This window comes from Homo sapiens, chromosome 5 (assembly GCF_000001405.40).
Source record: "Homo sapiens chromosome 5, GRCh38.p14 Primary Assembly".
Classification (NCBI taxonomy): domain Eukaryota; kingdom Metazoa; phylum Chordata; class Mammalia; order Primates; family Hominidae; genus Homo; species Homo sapiens.
Window position 1 is genome coordinate 39,371,451 of NC_000005.10, and position 20,303 is coordinate 39,391,753.

At 39.4% G+C, this 20,303-nt stretch overlaps 1 protein-coding gene across 2 annotated transcripts in view, besides 2 other annotated features; it reads right to left on the bottom strand.

The window, feature by feature from the left end:
* The window catches only part of DAB2 (DAB adaptor protein 2), a 53,304-nt gene continuing 33,227 nt past the window's right edge, over positions 227–20,303 (bottom strand). The window contains exons 5-15 of one of the 2 annotated variants that reach the window (NM_001343.4): positions 18,994–19,125; positions 18,402–18,482; positions 17,647–17,673; positions 17,349–17,402; positions 16,855–16,917; positions 11,168–11,821; positions 10,004–10,166; positions 5,200–5,832; positions 4,547–4,656; positions 3,564–3,634; positions 227–1,975 (exon numbers count right to left, since the gene is read on the bottom strand). In NM_001343.4, the coding sequence (NP_001334.2) occupies positions 3,569–3,634; positions 4,547–4,656; positions 5,200–5,832; positions 10,004–10,166; positions 11,168–11,821; positions 16,855–16,917; positions 17,349–17,402; positions 17,647–17,673; positions 18,402–18,482; positions 18,994–19,125 (1,983 nt within the window). In that variant the 3' untranslated portion in view covers positions 227–1,975; positions 3,564–3,568. The remainder of the gene's footprint in view (positions 1,976–3,563; positions 3,635–4,546; positions 4,657–5,199; positions 5,833–10,003; positions 10,167–11,167; positions 11,822–16,854; positions 16,918–17,348; positions 17,403–17,646; positions 17,674–18,401; positions 18,483–18,993; positions 19,126–20,303) is intronic. The other variant, NM_001244871.2, reaches the window with a different exon arrangement.
* Positions 9,285–10,484: an enhancer, noted in NCBI's record as "BRD4-independent group 4 enhancer chr5:39380837-39382036 (GRCh37/hg19 assembly coordinates)". NCBI's record gives its function as "activates an origin of replication core promoter dependent on BRD2, P300/CBP, MED14 and CDK7 cofactors, and independent of BRD4, by STARR-seq in HCT116 cells {active_cell/tissue: HCT116}" and the evidence as "EXISTENCE:reporter gene assay evidence [ECO:0000049][PMID:35650434]".
* Positions 10,761–11,960: an enhancer, noted in NCBI's record as "BRD4-independent group 4 enhancer chr5:39382313-39383512 (GRCh37/hg19 assembly coordinates)". NCBI's record gives its function as "activates an origin of replication core promoter dependent on BRD2, P300/CBP, MED14 and CDK7 cofactors, and independent of BRD4, by STARR-seq in HCT116 cells {active_cell/tissue: HCT116}" and the evidence as "EXISTENCE:reporter gene assay evidence [ECO:0000049][PMID:35650434]".

The following is a 20,303-nucleotide window of genomic DNA, read 5'->3' on the forward strand; positions in this document are numbered from 1 at the left end:
TCCCGGAAAGGGAGTGTGTGTGGGTTTGAGACAGAAGAAGGTGTGAAATAGATCAGACGGTAATTTACTCACGGTCCTATTTCATGGATTTCCACTTTCTCTTCACTGTTGTGACAATCCAGAATCTATTATAGCTAACATTTTCTCCACTTCAGACTGGTATGTTTTATAGCTTGCCTCTAATGTCAACTCAAAGCAGGTAGAATAAACCGATGGTACCACATGATATTCTGCCACTCCAGTTTATTGAAATGAGTAAATTTATAGCTTTATTTGCATACAGAAAAGTGCATGAGAAAATAAGTATGTACAAAACAGTTGTGTGGCTGATCATGACTTTCAAAAATTCAACTACCTAGAAATAGTTACCTCCAGTTTAGCACATTTAGGTATTTGGACATTTAAAGTACTATTTCAAGTCTGTGTTTATAGTGACTGAGTAGGAAGCTGATAGAAAATTATGCCATATATGATCAACTATTACCATTAAACATAAAACCACAGGACTTTCTACTTGGGGCTAATCAATAGAGGGTCATGTGGCCCCTGTCTTGTTTAGCTTCTGAGCATCACCCTCTTCTTCCCCCTCAAGGTAACATTGGATGTGGCTGATTAACTCCCACAAGAACCTGAGCATTAAGGGTCAAGAGACAACATTAAAAACCCAACATAAACAAAACAAAACAAAACTTATTTTGACAATAATAAACCCTTCAGAACTGTGCTCACAACAGGACTGAAAATGAACTGGGAACGTTTCCAAGTTGTGAGGAGAAAAATATTGCAGACATTAGATTTTCAATGGTAACCCCAAACATTTGTTCTACAGCTTTTTCTCCCCTCTTATCTTCCTACTAACGACATTGAGATTGTGGCTGCAAGAAAAGTTTTCCAGTTACTTGATAAAGGCCTAGCATGACCCCAAATAAGCACCTAATGTGTTTGGCACAATCACATTTAGCTTTGTGATATGTTGCTCTTCAAAATAGAGTCCTTTGTTGCTGAGTTGAGTTCAATTTCTCTTGAACATTAACTGCTCTTCTGGAACTTCAGCTCAAGAGAGTGGCCTCCTCTTCCACAGGAAGGATATAGGTTGTGCCCATTTGCAATTCTAGTTCTTGGGACTAGCAATTACTGAGAATGAAGAGAGGCTCCAGATCTGTCTGTGAATCATTAGATTTTTTTTTTTTTTTGCCCTGTGAGAGTCTGTTGCTTGTGAAAGGGTGGTAATACTACTTGAACCCAGGAGCAAAACTGACTGAAAAAAGAATCAGAAAAAAAAGGGGAGGAGAGATGAATAATGTTCTTCCCTCATTTGCAATAGCTAGCAAGAAATGGGAGAAAAGGACAATCTTGGCCTTGGGAGAAATTGATCTTCAGAAAGAAGAGAAGCTATCTCTTTAAAAAGGTCCTTAAGTGGTTAGATTCCAAAGTGTCTAAGGAGAAGTTGTAGTTGCTTCAATTTTACTTTAGAAATTCTCTGTAACTGATGGTCTGAAGCAAGATTTCTTTTAAGAAGGTGCCTTGTTCTACTATAACCTTTAGGTTTTATGCTCTGAAACAGAACCCCCAAACAACTCTGAACAATAAGGATTTGAAAATTTATTCAAAACAGTATGATATGAAGGGATGTGGTGGCTGCATCTCCCAACCAGAGGGTAGAAGGCAGGTGTTCTAGAAGGTTCCAGGGACACAAGAGGCAGGGTTCAGTAGGGAAACTACTGTACTTCATTTACACTTAAGCTAGAGAGTTTAGGATCTTAATTTATTTAAAGCCATAGATTCAGTTTAGCTTTAACCTAGACAGAAAGTGAAAAGCATTTTACAAGTAGAAGAGGCAATGAGAAATAAGGCAACAGATAATACGTCAAAGCTGGAACAAGGGCAGAAATCAGAACGTGTCTGGCTATCAGCTTTGTTTTTGACTACTAAGGCCAACCTTTTTATTCCTCTGGATGGTCTGCAGACCAAGTTCCTAGAGAGGTATGGAGAAGAAAGAAACTTGTGGTTAGAATTTTTGAACTGAATATCAATGTATTAAATATCAAGTCATTATTAAAGATGTCAGTAATAGTATCTCCTAGGGCTGATGTGAGGATTGATGAAGATGATAAATGTAGAGCATCTAATAAAATGCTTAGCGCAAGTGCTCAACAATGTTAGTTATTTTATCCCATGAGAGTTCCCCTTACCCAATCTATTGATGTAGCAGGTTGACCTAAACTATCCTTCCTTCATGACCTAAAGAAGGAAGGACCTCCAAAGAGAAGTCTAGTTCATTCAATTTAGTCCATACAATCCATCTTGACTCTGAGTGTAGTTTACTCCTTCTATTGGTTTGGGTATATCTCCCCTTGAATGGAAGGTGAGAATGATCTCTGGTAAGACTTCTAGCTCTTAAATATCTACTTACTGCTTTATTACCTTTAGAATCACCTGCACTCTTGTTAAAAGGAAGCATTTCCTTGGCACCAAAGAGAAATTCCTTAGGGCTGCAGTAGGACCCAGGAATTTGCATTTTTAATGATTTACCCAGTTCTCTGAAGCAGTTTATGGAAAGGTACTACAGGAAACACAGTCATTGTAGAACTGGAGTTGAGGGAAAATGATCCAGATGCCTATAAGCTCAATCTTATTGTTTTCGCCACGTTTAAGATATCTATCTATTAAAAATAATTACATTCTAGATGAGCCAAATCACAGTTTAGTAGTCCTGTTTGGATGAGACAAGATTGGAAAAAAAATGGGCTTGGTTTTTGTTGTTGTTGTTGTTGTTTTTCATTATTTCTATTGTTCTACCCCTACCAGCTGGCCTACCTGCTCTAAAATGGGGAGAGCGTTCCTTTCCCTACTAAATTCAGTCTTTTGAGATCAGAATAAAGTTGCTGTCACCTTCTGTAGAGAAAGAGTTACACTGAGCCCTCCCAGGATTTCAGCTGAGGGTGATTCTACCTAATCACTTATCTAAGATAAAGTTCATGAGACAGAAGAATCAACCTTCAGACTCATTTTGAGCTCCTACTGCCTATGAAGGAGATCTTTAATAGTTGTTAAAACTTTCAGATTTAATACCATCAGACTCTTTCAGACTAACTTTGAGATTGCTCACAGTTAAATGGTAGAGAAGTAATGATCATAATCTGTTTTGCTGACTTGGTGGCTTCAGAAAGTCAATGGAATCTGAACCCTTTATAGGAAACCAAATTATTACTAGGTTGTTTTGCAACCACTTCAATATGAAAGTAAAAAGGTTAGAAACCTGTGATGTGTTGTTTTGAGTTTTACTTCCCACACAGAACTGAAAAACCAAGAACATGGAATAAGATAAAAATCCACATCCCCAAGGGTATATTACTATTTTTTGATGTGTTTAGGAATTCTATTCTTAAGTGCCCAGCCTAGTCATTATTGAATGATCTCAGTAGAGATTTTCCTGTCGATTACTCCTAAATTATAGATATTTACCCTCTTCCCAATTCTAAAATTAAAATTTCACTCTTTATTCCATGTCACCCTTTCTCACAAAAACCCCTGAGACAGGCTTATTAGGATCTTCTACTTACAGAATTTAGGCAAAAGGATTTCCAAATGGATCCCTATACATCTCAGAAGATACAGGTTGAGAAGAAGCCACCTAAGAAGATAAAATCATCTAGTCAATAAATACAGTTACAGTCATAAGAAAAAAATCGCAATGAAGACTTCCAAAATTCTTTTAAAAATCGCTTAGGTCATAGGCCAATCAGCCAATCAAACATTATATGGGGCTTACAGTGTTTTGTTTTCATCTGCTTGCAGATGGCAGTGTATATTATTTATGTGAAAATCAAGGTTCAGATGCATTTCATTTGCCTCCCCGAAATGGGAAGTATTATTTTCACAGGCTATAGAAATATTGTTGGAAAATTAAGAACTTAAATTTTTGAAAGGTTTTCAAGACAGTATTTTGGCTCAATTTTCTCCCGAAATGCTTTCATGGGTCAGGTTAAGTGAGATATGAAGGATGTTTTCTATGTGATATTATTTCTCAAATTCAGAAGATAATAGTTCTTGTGCAAATAATCTTTCTCCAGTTTAAATGAATGTTTATACTGTGAAGGTTCTTGGTGACAAATCTTAGCTAAACATGTTTTACCATCAAAAAGCTATTATAGCCAGGTGCGGTGGCTCATGACTGTAATCCCAGCACTGAGGGAGGCCAAGGCAGATGGATCACTTAAGGTCAGGAGTTTGAGACCAGTCTGGCCAACATGGCGAGACCCCATCTCTACAAAAAAATACAAAAATTAGCCAGGTGTGGTGGCACGTGCCTATAGTCCCACCTACTCAGGAGGCTGAGGCAGGAGAATCCTTTGAACTCAGGAAGTGGAGGTTGCAGTGAGCTGAGATTGCACCACTGCACTCCAGCCTGGCCGACAGAGCAAGACTCTGTCTTAAAAAAATAAATAAATAAATAAAAGCTATTATAAAAGCAAGGTTAATTCAGGAGGCTGGAGCTCTATGTGGCATGTACTTTGGAGAAGAGCTTCTAGTAGTTCATACTTACAGAGGCTTGTGATGAACCAAAAGAATCTTTAAAGAAAGGGTTCTCAAATGCATTGTCAGTAGATTTGGTAACTGGCAGGGAAACTTGTCTGGGAGCTGGCTTTGGTGGTTCTAGAAGGTAAAAAATCCAGGCAATCAGTAGACAAGCTTTCCCCAAATATAGGCCAGTCCCCGAGTCAGCTTATTTTTGAAGTTTAGTTCTATACTTTTGAAATTTACATCAGTGGAACAAAAATCAACACCAAATACTAGGTACCCCAATAATTATTATCCTTCTCGGAAGAGAAAGCCATGCATATTTATCTGAAGTGGAAGAGATTCAGAATCCCCTCATTTTAAGCTGATGGGACATGGATGACGCCTTATTACACAGCCCTCCAAGAGTCACCAGTCATCACATTTCAATAGCTCATGGCAGCCCTTTTAAGATTTATCACTAGAGGGCAGCATTGGGTCAGTCCTCAGAAATGACTAAGGTAAATAGTTATCACCAAAAGGTAAATGGTTAAGTTGTCTCCGTAACCCTTGATTACCAACAGAAGCAAGAGCAAAGCTGTTGGCGGGTGGGAGAGGGTTCATTTGGGGAACTCATTTAGGTCCATGTGGCAGTGGAGATAGTTGTTGGAACAGTAGGCAGAGTGGTGAGTGGCTTACCATTGATCTTGTTCAATAGTTGATTAGCATCAAAGTCATCATGGTCTGCATTCTCCTGAGGAATGCCAACCTTGCTGTTGAAATAACTGGCAAAGGCACTCAAAGTCCCAGAAGAAGTCTGCTCTCCCTTCCGCGCGGGCACAGCAGGTGGCTGCCGCAGTTGGAAATCCTTAAACATTTCTTTCACATCCTTGATCTCTTTATCCCCAAGTGGGTCTAAGGCAGTGAAGGCATCACTGGAGATGTCCTTGGGAGGGCCAGCTCTGGGAGGTGGCTGAGGAGGAGTGACCAGGAGAGAGGAGTGCATGGATGGGGGCTGAGTGGACACAGCAGGAGCTGGAAAAATATTGCTCTGAAAAGGATTCCCCAAAGGGCTTGTTGTTGACCAAGCATTGGGTGCCACAGATGCAGAAGGGCCCCAGACAACAGGCACTGGAGGGGGAGTTGAGGCTGCAAAGGGTGAAGGCTGGTTCCAACCTGAAACAGCTGGACTTGTACCAAAAATGACGGGCTGACTAAAACCTGAAGGTTGACCACCCATCATGGCTCCCGGAGCCATTGAAGGGGACTGATTGAAGACCAAAGATGCTGTGTTCCATGGTCCTGCCTGAGGGAGTGTGACAGTTACACCACCTGAAGTAAGAGGAAGAAAAATACTTATCAGGAGTCAAGCTTGAAGAAGATTCTTGAATTTCAGAGAGCACAACTCTCTGGAAAGCCTCTCCACAGCTAACACCTCCATTGAGCCCTGAGGCTGATATGGGAAGAATATGACAGATTAATCACTGTAAAAGTTAGCCAGCTAACACTGTATAGTGAGCATTCAAATGCTGGTTGCATTTTGAGGCCCATGTTCTTCCTACCATGTCTTTTTAACTTTCCTGATTAGAAGGGTAGTACGGTCCATAAGTATCTACTCATCAAAAAAATAAGCCCTTATCATACAGACACTAGTTGTCTGATACATCTCAAACAACTAGAACAGAGCCTGTTAATAGCAGGAACTTATTTAAGTGAATATATTTTTATGCATGAACCATGCTGATTATGATGTAGTTAATTAAGATAATCCATTGGACTCTCTGAGTCACAGATTTGATCTTTTCATTTGGCAACTGGCTCACGTCTGGAGTCTTATGGAAACCAGCAATCACACATGTGCACAAGACCTCAACATGCTTGCATCCTGAAGAAACCATTTCAAAGTTTCTTCACTTTTTATTGCTGCCAAGACTGATACAGCTATATACATAAAGGGAAGATAAAGTTTGGCCAATGCCAAGATAGTTTTAGACGTTTATATATAAAAATGGAAGAAAGGATGTTATCCTAGGAAGACTGTTTCAAATAAAAGTGCTTCCTGCCATGTGCCATTTGCTAAACCTTGCCAGAAGTTAGAACAGAGAATTTAAAAGAGGAGAGAGGACAATGGGAAACAAAAATCTTTCAAGGTAACTAATGGCCTGTGTTGGGGCATCTGATCTTTGTGGTGAATGGCTCCATCTCCTACGACCTTGCTATGTCATCAGGAATTCGTTAAATCGCCAGAATCCAGGCCTCTCCAATGATGGCCTCTGATTCTTGAGAGGCTCGCTCCCTGCATCTTGTTCTAATATACAGGGCACTGTCTTTCCTGCCTCTTTCCAAGTGCATTAATGATTCAGTTAAACTCACCGCTAAGAAGGAAACCTAAATTCAGCCTCATATCTATTAGTGGGTGATGCTTCGCTCTTGAAATCTACTTGCTTTGAGCTTTGGTGCATGGCATTCTTTAGTTATGAAAGTTTTCTTCAGACCTGGGTTAGGGACGTTTATGTTTCCAAGAGGGAATACTTTGAAAATGGTATTTAGGAGTGATGGAGCACAAGATTATATCTTCGAGCTTCTTAGTCTGAGACATTGGTATTACCTGACTCCATTCTCATCATGCATGCTGGCCATCTGGCCATGGGCACACATGGTGTACTCACAGAGAGTGGTGGGTTTCAGAACAGGCCATTTCACTTAATCAGCATGCTTTTTGGAGGTGAGGAAACTGGGTGCAAGAATATTCATTAAAATTGGGAAGGTCATAGTCTGGGATGGTAGAAACTGAAAATCAGGCACACTGGCTCTAAATCCGGCACCCCATTCTCCTGTTCTGCTTCCTTGGCAGCAAGGCATGGGGCAATTTTAATTTTCAAATGCTATGTTAATTCAAATACTTATTTCACGGATACAGAAATTAGACTTCATTTTCACTGAAGAATATACTCCTTTCATAACAAATCAAGAGAAAAGTTATATTCTACAATACAGGCTCTAAAAATGGGTTTAGTTTGAACAAAGTTGTTGCTTGTATTTTAAAACACATTCAATTAAATTGTATTAACAGAAGCCAGATCACTTGCTAATAATTTCCACCAGTTAGCTGTGCAAAAAGGAGGGTAGAATTTTATCATCTTTCATGTTGGACAACTTGTCTTCATTTAGGAAAATATCATATTAGTGAGAATGGTATTTGTAAAAGAGAAAAATATTAGGGCTGGGCGCAGTGGCTTACACCTGTAATCCCAGCACTTTGGGAAGCCAAAGTGGGAGGACCACTTGAGGCCAGGAGTTCAGAACCAACCTGGCCAACGTGGCGAAACCCTGTCTCTACTAACATACAAAAATTAGCTGGGTGTGGTGGCGCATGCCTGTAATCCCAGCTACTAGAGAGGCTGAGGCACTTAAACTTGGGAGGCAGAGGTTGCAGTGAGCTGAGACAGCACCACTGCACTCCAGCCTGGGTGACAGAGTGAGACTCTGTCTCAAAAAAAAAAAAAAAAAAAAAGGAGAGAAAAATATTACATTTGCCAGGAATTCAAGGCTTTCCCAGTATATACTTATACCAGTCTTCATTCCTACCCACCAAATCCCCACATTGTGTTTTAACACATTGAACACATTGAACACATTGACAAAGTAGGGGCAAGGAATAAGGAAAAAGGGGACATGGGTATAGAACATTAATTTTATTACCTTCTGAGGCTAGATTAAAATACAAGCAAGTTGAATCTGAGGGCTCAGCTTTCTACAATACCCTCTCCCCACCCCCCCAGTTCTCCAGGGGAGACAGTCCCCCAGCTGGGTCTAGCGGAAGCCAGACCTACAACCTTCCATGGTTTGGCTGAGGATCCCTGCTAGTGGACAGGGACTATACTGTAGAGCTCAGTTTGAGTCCCATGTCCAAACTTGGAACAATCATCAGTATTCTGCAGTTGTATACCCCAAGCCCTCAACAGGGGCACCTAGCCAAAAAGCTTCACTTCGTCTGAATAAATAAACAGTTATAGGGTCCAGCTGTATTTTCAGGCTGACTTGTTAAATATTGGCTGCAAAAATTCTTAAGGGCATTGATATCAGATAAAAAGCTCTGTGATGTGATCTCGCTGCAGACATTGCATTGCAAGCACTCTGGTCTTCTGTGAGGGAAGGGTACCAACCAGCTCCACTTGGGGGTGCAAGGAAAAGAGCAACGCAGAAAGGGGGAAGCCCCCAAGAGACATGAAGTCTTTAGAGAGAGCCTCTTGATGGGGTAAATGCGAGCAGAGACCTGGGACAAGCTGGCTTTTCATACCCTCACGGATTTCTGCCACTCAGCAGTTGAGTAACAGTCCTCCTCTGGCCACCCTATTCTAGATATGATTAAACAGATTTCTTGTAAAAGAACCAAACTATTTTCCTTTGTAGGAAAACAACAGAGACAGAGAGGAAAACAAAACAAGGATCCTGATGACTGACTGCAGGAGGCAGAGAAAGCCAGGATCCCTGGTCAGATTTTACCGAAGGAGAGGAGAGTCCTTCCTCGTCTACAGTCCTCCACCTCCCAAGCCAGAGTCCATTTGGAGTTTGTAGAGGTGCCAAGAGAAGAAAAATAGAGTCCATAGCAGGACAGCAAAAACTATTGTCAGGGTTTCTGAAAACTGTACCATGGAGTCTGAAAAGAACTATAGGCTATGGACTAAGAATAGCAAGGCCAGCCCTCAGTCAAGTGGACTTTCCCACTGTCCTACCACAGAGTGATCAGCGGCTCACACAAGCTAATGACACATTTAGGAATTAAGAGCGTCAATGCATACTAGCTGTCTGATAAAATTCCATCTCTTCCCTTATTTCTCTCTTTTTTCAACTTTGGCTTTCTAGGACTTATGTTCTAGCTTCAGTAAAACACTCAAGCTAGCCAAAATATTGGCAAGGAGCTCCTATGGCAGAAGTGCTCAGAGACTGATCAGGATGTGTGCCTGATCTACCCTTACCATACACCTAGGAACACAGCTGGGCCCAGAACCTAGGACTTTCACTCTATGACTTATTCTTGCTTCAGACTTAACTTACATCCTTCTTGGGCATATATTCCTTCTAAGAGGGCTATGTGTTGAAAGGACATAGGCCTTCGATCTATTATGGCAAAAGACATGGAAGACATGCATGTTGACAGACAAGCCTCTCTTATGTCAACCCTGTTTTGCTACTGAAGCTGGTCTGAGTTTAGAATCCCTTACAATTGTCTTTCAGGAAACCATGACCAGTTGGTTCAAGTAAGTACAATACTGAAAATGAATTTCTTGTCTCATGCTGCCTCGAGGAGCCAAATGTGAGTTACAAGTCAAGAATATCAAATGGATGTGGGGTTGTATAGTAGAAGTGGGAGAAGGGCTCCCTGGGATGCTCAAATCTTATGCTGTAAAACCCTCTGGGAGTATGAAATCTCTTCCGATGCATCATCATTTTATGAGCAAAAGCAAAAGAGTCATACTTAATTTTATCTCTAGGCACCTACCTAGACCCACCAGGGGCCCCACTGGGGCAGGAGCACTTGTTTTGAAGAGATCCAGAGGGTTGGGCTGCAGGGCTGTAGGTTGTCCTGTGGGTGACGCCTGGCCTGAAGGTTCTGAGACGGGAGGAGCAAAGATGTCTGATGCAAGCAAGTCATTGGCTGAAGACTGACAGGACAGGGAGGGAGGGAGAAGCCTTAGTTACTCACTAACAGTGAAATACAGCCTCATTTTGTCTCCTACCCTATACCCCAATTTGAGAGCCACAAAAAGGAAAACTTTTTTCTTGACAGATGAACAACAACAACTACTACTACAGAAAAAGAGTCCTCCAAAAAAAGACACAGATTCCTACAACGGACGGACTACTGAGTCTTAGTGTCTGACACTACCTAGGACTTGCAAAGTGAAATCTACTATATTCCTTTACACACTCACATTGGTCTGGTCTCATCGCTAAATGCTTGAAGTTGGGGGAGCAAGTGTGTAAAAGGGGCAACTACCAATAAGCATCCTAAATATTTTTGTTCATTCCATTGGATTTTAAGTCAGTCTACATAGAGATCATAGGGTCTTAATCCAGGCAAGCCTGTATATTCTTAGGAGAGGTAAAAAAAGACACCTATGGGAACTGCATTTTAAATTGCTCTTAAATAAAGCTGAGATCATAGTGGTAATAGTAAATACATAAGCTTAGAAAAAGCTTATGTATTTACTCAGTATTTAAAAGAGGAGATAAGCTCGAGAATTTTATACCACCACCATGGACACTGATGCAACATGATGGGTGTGCAGGGCATGTGTTAGTGTCAGGGAAGTACAAAGGGAATCACAAGAACTCTCACCCTCCCAACCCAGAACACGATGATCAAACTTACCAGAGGTATAGAAGCATAGCAGCATTAAAAATGGAAAAACTTGTGTTTAGTTTAATCATAAGTGACAAGACATGCACACGGAAAGCAGGGTGTGAAAAACACTGCTGAGAAGCTTAAAAACGGTGGCAGTTAGAGGAAAGTACTCCTGGAGAACCAAAGTGCCTTATCCCACCTTCTATTTCACAGCAACACAGGAAACTACGAGAGCAGCAGGAAAGAGAGCTTGCATCACACCACCCTTTGGTACCGAACATGCACTCTGCTAATGGATATGTGGAGAAGACAATTCACCTTAGCAGTCCTTCTGCCTCTTCCTGGTTTGGTACTTTGTGGAGGTGGGATAATGGCTATGGAGTCATGTGGTGAGGACTGGACAGAGCTTTCCAAGTCCTGCTTTACGCCATTCTGTATGGACAGTCCTTTGGGAGGGCTTCCCACAAAAGGGTTCGGGGAGGATTTGACAGAGAAGCCGTTCTGTTCTCTTTCAGATACCCCATTTTGAGTTCTCACTGCTGGCTGGGTTTGCGAACTTGAAAAGGGCCATGGGCCTGCCTGAGCTTCCTGTTTGCCAGTCCGGTTAGAGATCTGGTCAAATTGCTGACCAAAGTAGTCAACATCACCATTCAGGGGCCCATTACTCAGCGGAGTAGACGAGCTACTCGAATTCTCTTTCTTCTGATCTGGAGATTTGAGAGAATCAAACGAAGAAGGTGTCGATTGGTCTGGCTGTGTGAAAGGATCGTCACGGAAAGGATCAGGATTAGGGGTGGGAAAGAAGTTGAGATTGGCAGAAAAGGCATTTTCAGGCAAGAAGGATGCCTGAGGCGTTGGTCGAGGAAGAGAACAGGAGGTGATGCCGTTTGTTAAGAATGGATTTTCTCTTAAAGAATTCTGATTGGTGTCGATTTCAGAGTTTAGATCCACTAACAGGATATCTTTGCTTTCCTATCACATTTGGAAAGAAAAAAAAAGAAAGTGTTAGTCCATGTTGTGACTTCAAATGAGAAAATTACATAAGATGACTAGGATTATCAGAATTTCCATTTGAATTTGGTCTTGATAAATCGGTTGATCATTACCTCCTTCCATCAACCCCCGTAGTCCATTACTCCCTAGCTATAGACTAGGTCCTTTCTATTCCTCCCCAATATCATGCCCTTTTATTTAAGTCTCAACCTCATTAGGTGAAATCTTACTGTTGCTTACTTCATGTCTCTGCTCACCCTGGTTCACACATACAGACTGGCTTAATTCATTATGAGCATTGTTTCAATTTGTGACTTTGAAAGTCTTAAAGGGAATTGATTGTGAGTCACTATAAATGATTATCAAAGTATGTTGAGCTTGAAAGTAAGTGATTTCAGAAGCTTAGCTCAGCTTCCTACCTATACACATACAGTCCTCTCTATTGTACCCCCAGAGTCATGTAGGATCATCTCTCTAAATGAGAAAATTCATCGACTAATACATTCATATTTTATAGTTCTGGCTGTGATGAAATTTAAGATCAAATGCATTTCCCTAAAATCGGTCCAGTTCTTTCCTCTAGAGGTGGGAGAGAGGCTTTTCTTTTATATCACGGCCTTCAGGTATGTCTCTTAATATTTAAGGCTCTTGCTGAAGCTGATAGTCAAGTAGGATCTCATCCTCATCATCCCAGTCTCTCCTCTGGGCTTACCCTTTTTGTCTATGTCCTCTGAAAGAGACACTCAATACTGATCTAATTTAGTCAATCACACATTAAGATCTCCTATTTGTACATCTTTTCATAACATTGCTTAGAGTTGCCTGTGTTGTGACAGTAATCTCATCTATTTAGTGGTTAAAGTCAACCAACAACTGATCTTTAATTTATATACAGTAGTCCCTCCTTATCCTCAGGGAATATGTTCCAAGGCCCACAGTGGATGTCTGAAATGGCACATAGTGCCAAAACCTATATACAGTATTTTTCTCATATACATACACATGATAAAGTTTAATTTATCAATTAGGCACAATAAGAGATTAACAAGTAATAAAATAGAATGATTATAACAATATGCTGTAATAAAAGTTATTTGAATGTGGTCTCTCTGTCTCTCTTCTCTCAAAATATTATATTGTACCGTACTCACTTATTTTCAGACCAAGGTTGACCACAGACTTAATTTCAGAAAGTGAAACTGCAGATAAAGGGGGACTATTGTACAAGGTAGAGACATGGGTTTAAGAGTTAATTTGAAAGACATATCAAATATGTAGCTCTACTAATTCTATCCCCTCTCTATCATTTCTCTGGTGTGTTAATTTTTTGGATTTTCAACTGTTTGATAAAAAATTCTCAGCTTAAAAGCAGTAAATTTGATGAATCCGACATGTCTTTATTCCAGTAAAAGACAGAATTATAACTCATCCTAGAACAGAACTTTCATACTGACATCACTTCCTTCTGCTTGACTTTGATCCATTAAATACTTAACTATGCTACCCAGAGAAGAATATAAATGATAAAAAATGCCTTGCTGAAGTGCAAGTTATAGTAGTTATCTTGCATTACCCTGAGCAGAATACTAAATATTTTGATCATTGGGGAAAATAAACAACTTCAAGGGAATATAAAATTTGCAAACTAGTAAATACAAAAGGGTTCAAATAGAACTCCTTGGCTTTTAAAAGAAAAAAAAATACCCAATTGTTTAGAAAGTTTAAGTCCTATTTCATGGCCACAAAAGAGACAGCAAAATCAGACCTAAATGGTAATCTATCTTTTGGATTCCTTTACTGTGAGGCATAAAAATACAGTTTTTATAAGCCAAAGCCAGGCTTTCTCTTTATAAAAGAAGAATTTGTCACAAGAAAGAGCTTATAATTAAAAAAAAATTTAATCAGAGAAATGGATTGGAAGAGCTATTAATCTAGGGATCTTTATACAATCAAAAGGTAGGATAAAATGTATTACAAAAGCTTGTGATTTCAATATTTATTTATTTGTTTTGAGCCACCTCTGGGTTAGAACAGTTGAGTGTTCACAGCTGGTAGAGTTCTCGTTTTCAAATACTTCAGAAGAAGTTCTTAGGACACCAAACAGGAGCCACAATGTTAGACTTCTGAATAGTCACCCTATAAGTAAAATGTATAAGGCTCTCCTCAGGCTGGGTTTGTTATTAATCCAAGATTAAAAGTGTAGTTCACAGACTACAACTGAGAGCCCAAAGACTCCTCATCCACCCACTTGGTCAGCGCCTCATTCATTCTTTGTCGAACTGTCAACACTGCCTCCAGTTGGCCACTGTTTGAGCACCTGAGCCGCACGCACTGGAGACACGGCAGTGCGTTACAGAACCTGCTCGTAGGGAGCTCCAGTAATCGGACATAAATCCTGAGTTCCATAGCCTAGCTCTTCTCTGGGTGGCTAATCTCACCTAACCATTCCAGTTTGTCAGACTGAGGACTTCTCTACTCAAAGCCTTAAGTGGCTTACTGCTGGCTCCCTATATTAAAATAAACCTCCTTAGGCCAAATTTCCAAATGATCCACAATAAGACCCACGTTGTTTCTAGCCCAACTATGATCTATTTTCCTACACACTTCAAAGACCCAACTCAAATTCAGATTCTTTACAAAGCTTTTAGCATCGATTTTTCTGTCTGCACTTGCCCTGTGCCCACCCGTGTTATCTTATGGCATGTACACAAGGACATAAGTGACACTCCTGCTTTGTATCCTGATCCCATCCCTTGTACCAGATTTAATCTCCTTGATCACAGATCATGTCTTATATTCTTTCCATAGTAACTGTGCTTTCAAGTGGTTGTTAAAGTTGCAGAACATGGGTTTTTATGTTTTTCTTTCTTTTCCTTTTTTGAGATGCAGTGTGGAAGGATAATGCTCAAGGGGCTTGCCAATAAAAATTCTGTTCTAGGGGATACCACATAGTTTGCAACATGAGCATTATTTGAAACTCATAAAACTTTTCTGTATAAATTTGAGGGGAGTGACAACCATCTAGGACCAATAATAAAGTCTAGGTAATTTAGATTTCTTTCTCTCTTTACATATTTCAGAGCAATTGTTGAAAGAGTTGAATATTTTTAAACATGCTGGCTTTACCAAGTAGAGATAAATCTATTTTTGACCTATGACTATAGAGTCAATAGATAAGAACATGTCAAAGCCTAACCAGCACATAATTAGATCTGTTAGCCTTCTTTTGGTTATCAGAGAGTATATATTTTGATGGTATTTATTACTTTATTGTTAGTTTAACTAAAACTTGAATTCCTATAAATAAAAAATTCTTAGACTTCATAAAGTCTAATAAAAATGAGACTGAAGATTATCCATGTTGTTTTCCATTTCCTTTTTTAGAACATTCTAGAAGTCTACAGAAGTAGATTATATAGGCAGTACTTCCTTGCCTATTCCAGTGGAATTCCACTTCATATCTTGAGTGCTTTGCTCTCTTTGAATATTACTTGTTTGAATGTCATTTATACTTGGGAAGTAAGTGTTCAGATACTGATTTATTTGAGAAAACATCACTAATGGAGGAGAGCACAAAGTTGACTACAAATCAAAAGGACCTCAGAGTTAGGATGGACCTGTCAGGATAATCTAGTCTAGTACTTTAAAAAGTTTATCCTCAGAACTATAACAAAAATTATGAAGAATGAAAGGTTCTATAGGCAAGTGAGTTAGGGCTCACTGCTAAAATGAATATTAAACAGGCTTCTCTCTTAAAGGCATTTTAGAATGCTACCATGCATTGTGATACTCATATGGTTAGGGTCAGAGAAGAATGCATGAAGTCCCTGCTCCTCTCCATCTCATTTGACCTGAAAGTTTTATGCAGTAAGGATTCACAGGCCTCAAATTCTCTGCAGAAGTCTGAAGGGAGAATTTTATCCAATCTTTGATCCATTGCTTCAACTCCTGTAACCTTGGTCACATAGGCTTCCATGATAATTTCCTGATACAAGAGAGTCCTTTCTAGACATTTCCCCCCATTATTCTAGACTAATTCTCTTTTTGTCTGTTTATTGCCTTCTCATCTTTTATGTTCAAATCTAGAAACTCACTCCTGCAGAAGCATTACCTGAATCTGAACTAGATAAATACCCTGTAGTAACATCAATTACTAACGATGTGATTAGTTTTAATGTTGGTCTCCCTGCCGGAGAGTAAATTCCATGATGTCATTGATGTTGTGCATCTTACTGCTATGCCTTGCAAATAGCAGGTGCTCAGGAAACTGTTACATAAATAAAAGAAGTTGCAAGAAGTCATTCAAAATGTCATGGACATTTTCATTAGAGGTATGTTTTGGAAGGTCTGAAGACTTGGGCCTAAGTCTTGAATCTGGACCTCTTTCCTTTTTATTTTTTTTTCTTCTTTTTTTTCCCTGAACCACCATTTTTTTTTAATTTATAAAGGAAAATACTGTTCTGTTCTTACAGGGTTGTTACAGATCATTCAATATTGAGCAGACTGGATATGGTATAAAATCCTATGAGAATGGGCAGCTTTCTAACAAGGACAAGCTTTGGTGGAATATAACTGAGCCACTTGTTTGTTTTAAATCTTACTTCACACCAAATTTATGCTGCTAAATTGCAACAGACAGAATGCAAAAGAAATGAAGAGGCCAGGAGGCTTTATGATTAACCATCTAACAGTCATACTTTCTTCAAGTAGGCTTATTCAAGGACTATTATTCACCTCCTCCTTCTAATCCTAAGTGATACCAAGAAGGACTACATTGCTGACTTATTGTTCAGGTTTAATCTGTAAGCAATATTAATATAACTGAATTAGTGTGGATAGGTTCCCATGGTGACTTAAGATTCACATTTATTCTAAAAACCATTGACACTTCATTTGCAAAAATCAACAGTCACCTTCCAAGTTTCAATGAGATGCTTAAGATTTCTGGTTATTGCCAATTTGAGTTATAGATGTCATTTTATTACATTGCAAATTTAAAAACAAACACTTACTGTTGGACTATTTAGGTCAGGAGGTGTAGACATGTCCCCAAACAAATCCATCTGGTCAACACCCTTAAAAAAGTATTTGGATTAGATTCAGATGTGTCTACTAAAAAAGATTACTTCGTATATTGTAATCATTTGTTTCCTAAAGTTTAGGAAAGTAGCTGTCACAATTTAATTTCCATTTAACTAATAGATTTCATATTAAGCTGTTTAGGTCAGGAAGTGTAGACATGTCTCAAAGCAAATCTATCTTGTCCACATCCTTAAAAAGTATTAGATTAGATTCAGGTGTGGCTACTAAAAAGATTACTTTTCTAATCTTTTTTTGACTACTTTTGTATATTGACATAGATGTTACACTAATATTTTGAAAAACAGTTGTCTCAATTGGATTTTCATATAGATTCAATACAGATTTGGTATCAGCAACATCTACAGGAAGTAGAACCCATGTTCAGATAAGTAAGAACTGTCAAACGTCACATATTAATACATACCGATTTCAGTTTGTTAGTTTGGTCATCTAGAATCATTAGGGCCTCACTCCCATTCTGAAAAGATAGCAAATATTTAAGGATTTAGTTGAGCTTTGTCTATAAAATGTATTTGTCCACTCTATTAGTCTGCTAAGCAGCAATGGTTTTGGTATCATCTTTTAACTAAACATCTTTCATGATCAGAGAAGTCATAAACACATAGTAATAAGCGAGGTGGCGAGAGTGGTTGGGCAGGTAGAAAACAGGGGCTTACGCATGTCACACACATGATTAACAAGAAGTAAAGATGCAATTTTACCTCAACTGCTTTGCTGGCTTCCTCTATCTAAAAAGAAAGATACATATTCAGTGATCTTCATATTCATAGTGAAAGGGAGTTAAATACACAAACAAGTATGCCTATGGTTCACAGGCATAAGGCAAGAATAAGTCTTGTATATTATTTCTGCCCTCCGTTCCCCTCCCCTTTTCATATCAATATAAGGTTTGAGTAGAGTTACTGGATTTAAACTTGGTTGTCCTGTATATTTCCTAGAATTAATATGAATCTCATAGAGAGAAAAAAAATAAAAGCCAGGGAGTGCAGATTAGAAGTGCCTAACCATAAAAATGTATCCATTGCCCTATTGGGAAGAATAGACAATACATATAGAAGCCAAATTTTCAGATAGACCATATTTATATATAATATTAAACATAGTCCTGAGTACAGTTTTAAGTTTGTTTGTTTGAGACAGAGTCTCGTTCTGTCGCCCAGGCTGGAGTGCAGTGGCACCATCTCGGCTGACTGCAACCTCTGCCTCCCGGGTTCAAGTGATTCTCCTTGCTTCAGACGCCCAAGTAGCTGGGATTACAGGTGCCCACCACCACCCCTGGCTAATTTTTGTAGTTTTAGTAGTGATGAGGTTTCGCCATGTTGGCCAGGCTGGTCTCGAACTCCTGACCTCAGGTGATCCACCCACCTCTGCCTCCCGAAGTGCTGGGATTATAGGTGTGAGCCACCATGCCCAGCCAGTTTTAAATTTAATAGAGCCTTAATCAGGTAGTACTTGCCTTTTTCTTTTCTTCTTCCTTTTTCTTTACATTATAGATAACTTGAAAAAGGTCTTTAAGATCAACAACTAATGGTTCAGCCTGCAGTAAGGGAAAGCACTGTTATCCGTATTTTAATTTTAGTATTTTATTTCCTTTGTCTGCTATCAATTATAATTCATACTGGGATTTTTTTTTTAATCTTAAAACGCCTTACTACCCTCTGCTGGCTTATAGGGGATCACCACCAACCCAATCCTCACCCTTAGGTATATAAAAGACAGCAGGGTTAATAAGTATTTAGACAAAACAAGAGGTATCATGATCATATTTGAAGTCCTTTAAGGTTCCTGAGAATAATTCACCACTGTTGTGAAGTCAGTATTCACTTTATAAGAAGGTCCATTCTCACAATCCTGTGGCACACAGCAGTGCATAGCTATCAATGACATTTTTAAAAGATTCCATAGGCCAATAAAAATAGTCATTCTCGGAATTATTATTTAGCCCTCTTACATCCAATTATTTCCAGTAAATCTTTTAGTTGAGTGACAGACACTCCAATGTCCACAGAGGACAAGTCCCCAGGTCTATGTCAAGACTTAGAGCTCACCTGTTGCCCGGTTTTTATGGCAAAAAACTGATGCTGGCCTTCTCCTCCACACACGTAACCAAATGCCCGGTTGTCTGTCACATCACGGGCAATGAAAGAAATCTTATTTACTGGATGTTCATGCTCTATTACCTTAAAAAAGAACATAAAGAGTAATTTATTAAGAAAACTAGAATCTATTTGCAGGCTAGCACACCGAAGCCTCAGACACATATATGAAGGCATATATGAAAAGTTTAAACCATTTGAAGATAGACTTTTCATTTCTGGTTGAAGGCTAGAGCATTACTCTTTCTAGAAAGGGCTCAAAAGAAAGAAGAATAGAAAACGTAAGTGGGAAGAATGTTCCTTCTTAAAATATTGATACTTTACTCTCCCTGCTTTAAAGACATGATGCCACATAGCCAGGAAGGACTGAGGATTAGAAGACCAAGTGAAGAGGAGACATTTAGCCCTTAAGCCAAGCCAAATAGGTCTACTTTCCCAACTCAAAGACAAACTTAAAAGAACAGCATAACTAAGCTAGAGGAGTGTTCACAGGGATTCATTGACGATGGCTCAGAGTGGCCGAGGAACCATCCTATGTGTTATTGGAACCGTATTCCCAGTATATTCTGGAGGATACCAAATACTGTCATCAAGTGTTTCTCAGCCTCACCTAGACAGCCTAATACATAGTAACATAATGTAGTAATAACTACAGTATGTTAATGACATAATGACTACATCAGTAACCAGGAATTATAAGGGGTGGGGACTGTATTGGCTTAGTGTCTTTTCTTCTATTTTTCCCTCCTTTTTCTTGATCCTTTCAAGCAGTTAACAAGGTTGAACTCTTTAGGGATATTTGTAGGTGGCAGAGTGTGTCTTGGCTTTTTGTCCTGAATGTCTAAGATATCTTAGAGTATCTTAGAAAGTTTGAGGAGACACAGAAGGGTGAGAGAAACATGCCACCTTTCTCTGATGGGCTTGGGAAAATAAGAGTTGACAGATAAAGGCGACTGATAAAGAGAGTGGTGCCTGAGGACCCCAGCACTAGCAGGCTGAGTGGGGTCCACTAGGGTGCCAGGGCCCTAGGTTTGCATGGTAGATAATGGGCACTCTAGAAAGGGATGAATAGTAACTGGAGGTCTCCTCACAGTATCGTGATGCGAGAGAGTATTTTATAGCAATGAAAATGAGCCACACACAACATTTTAAAAAACATGAGTCTTATGATGTTACATTGAGTACAGAAAAAAAATCACAGAAGACTTGATGTATGATAAATAGCTTTCTGATAAGGCTTAAAAACAAGGCAAAATAAGTAA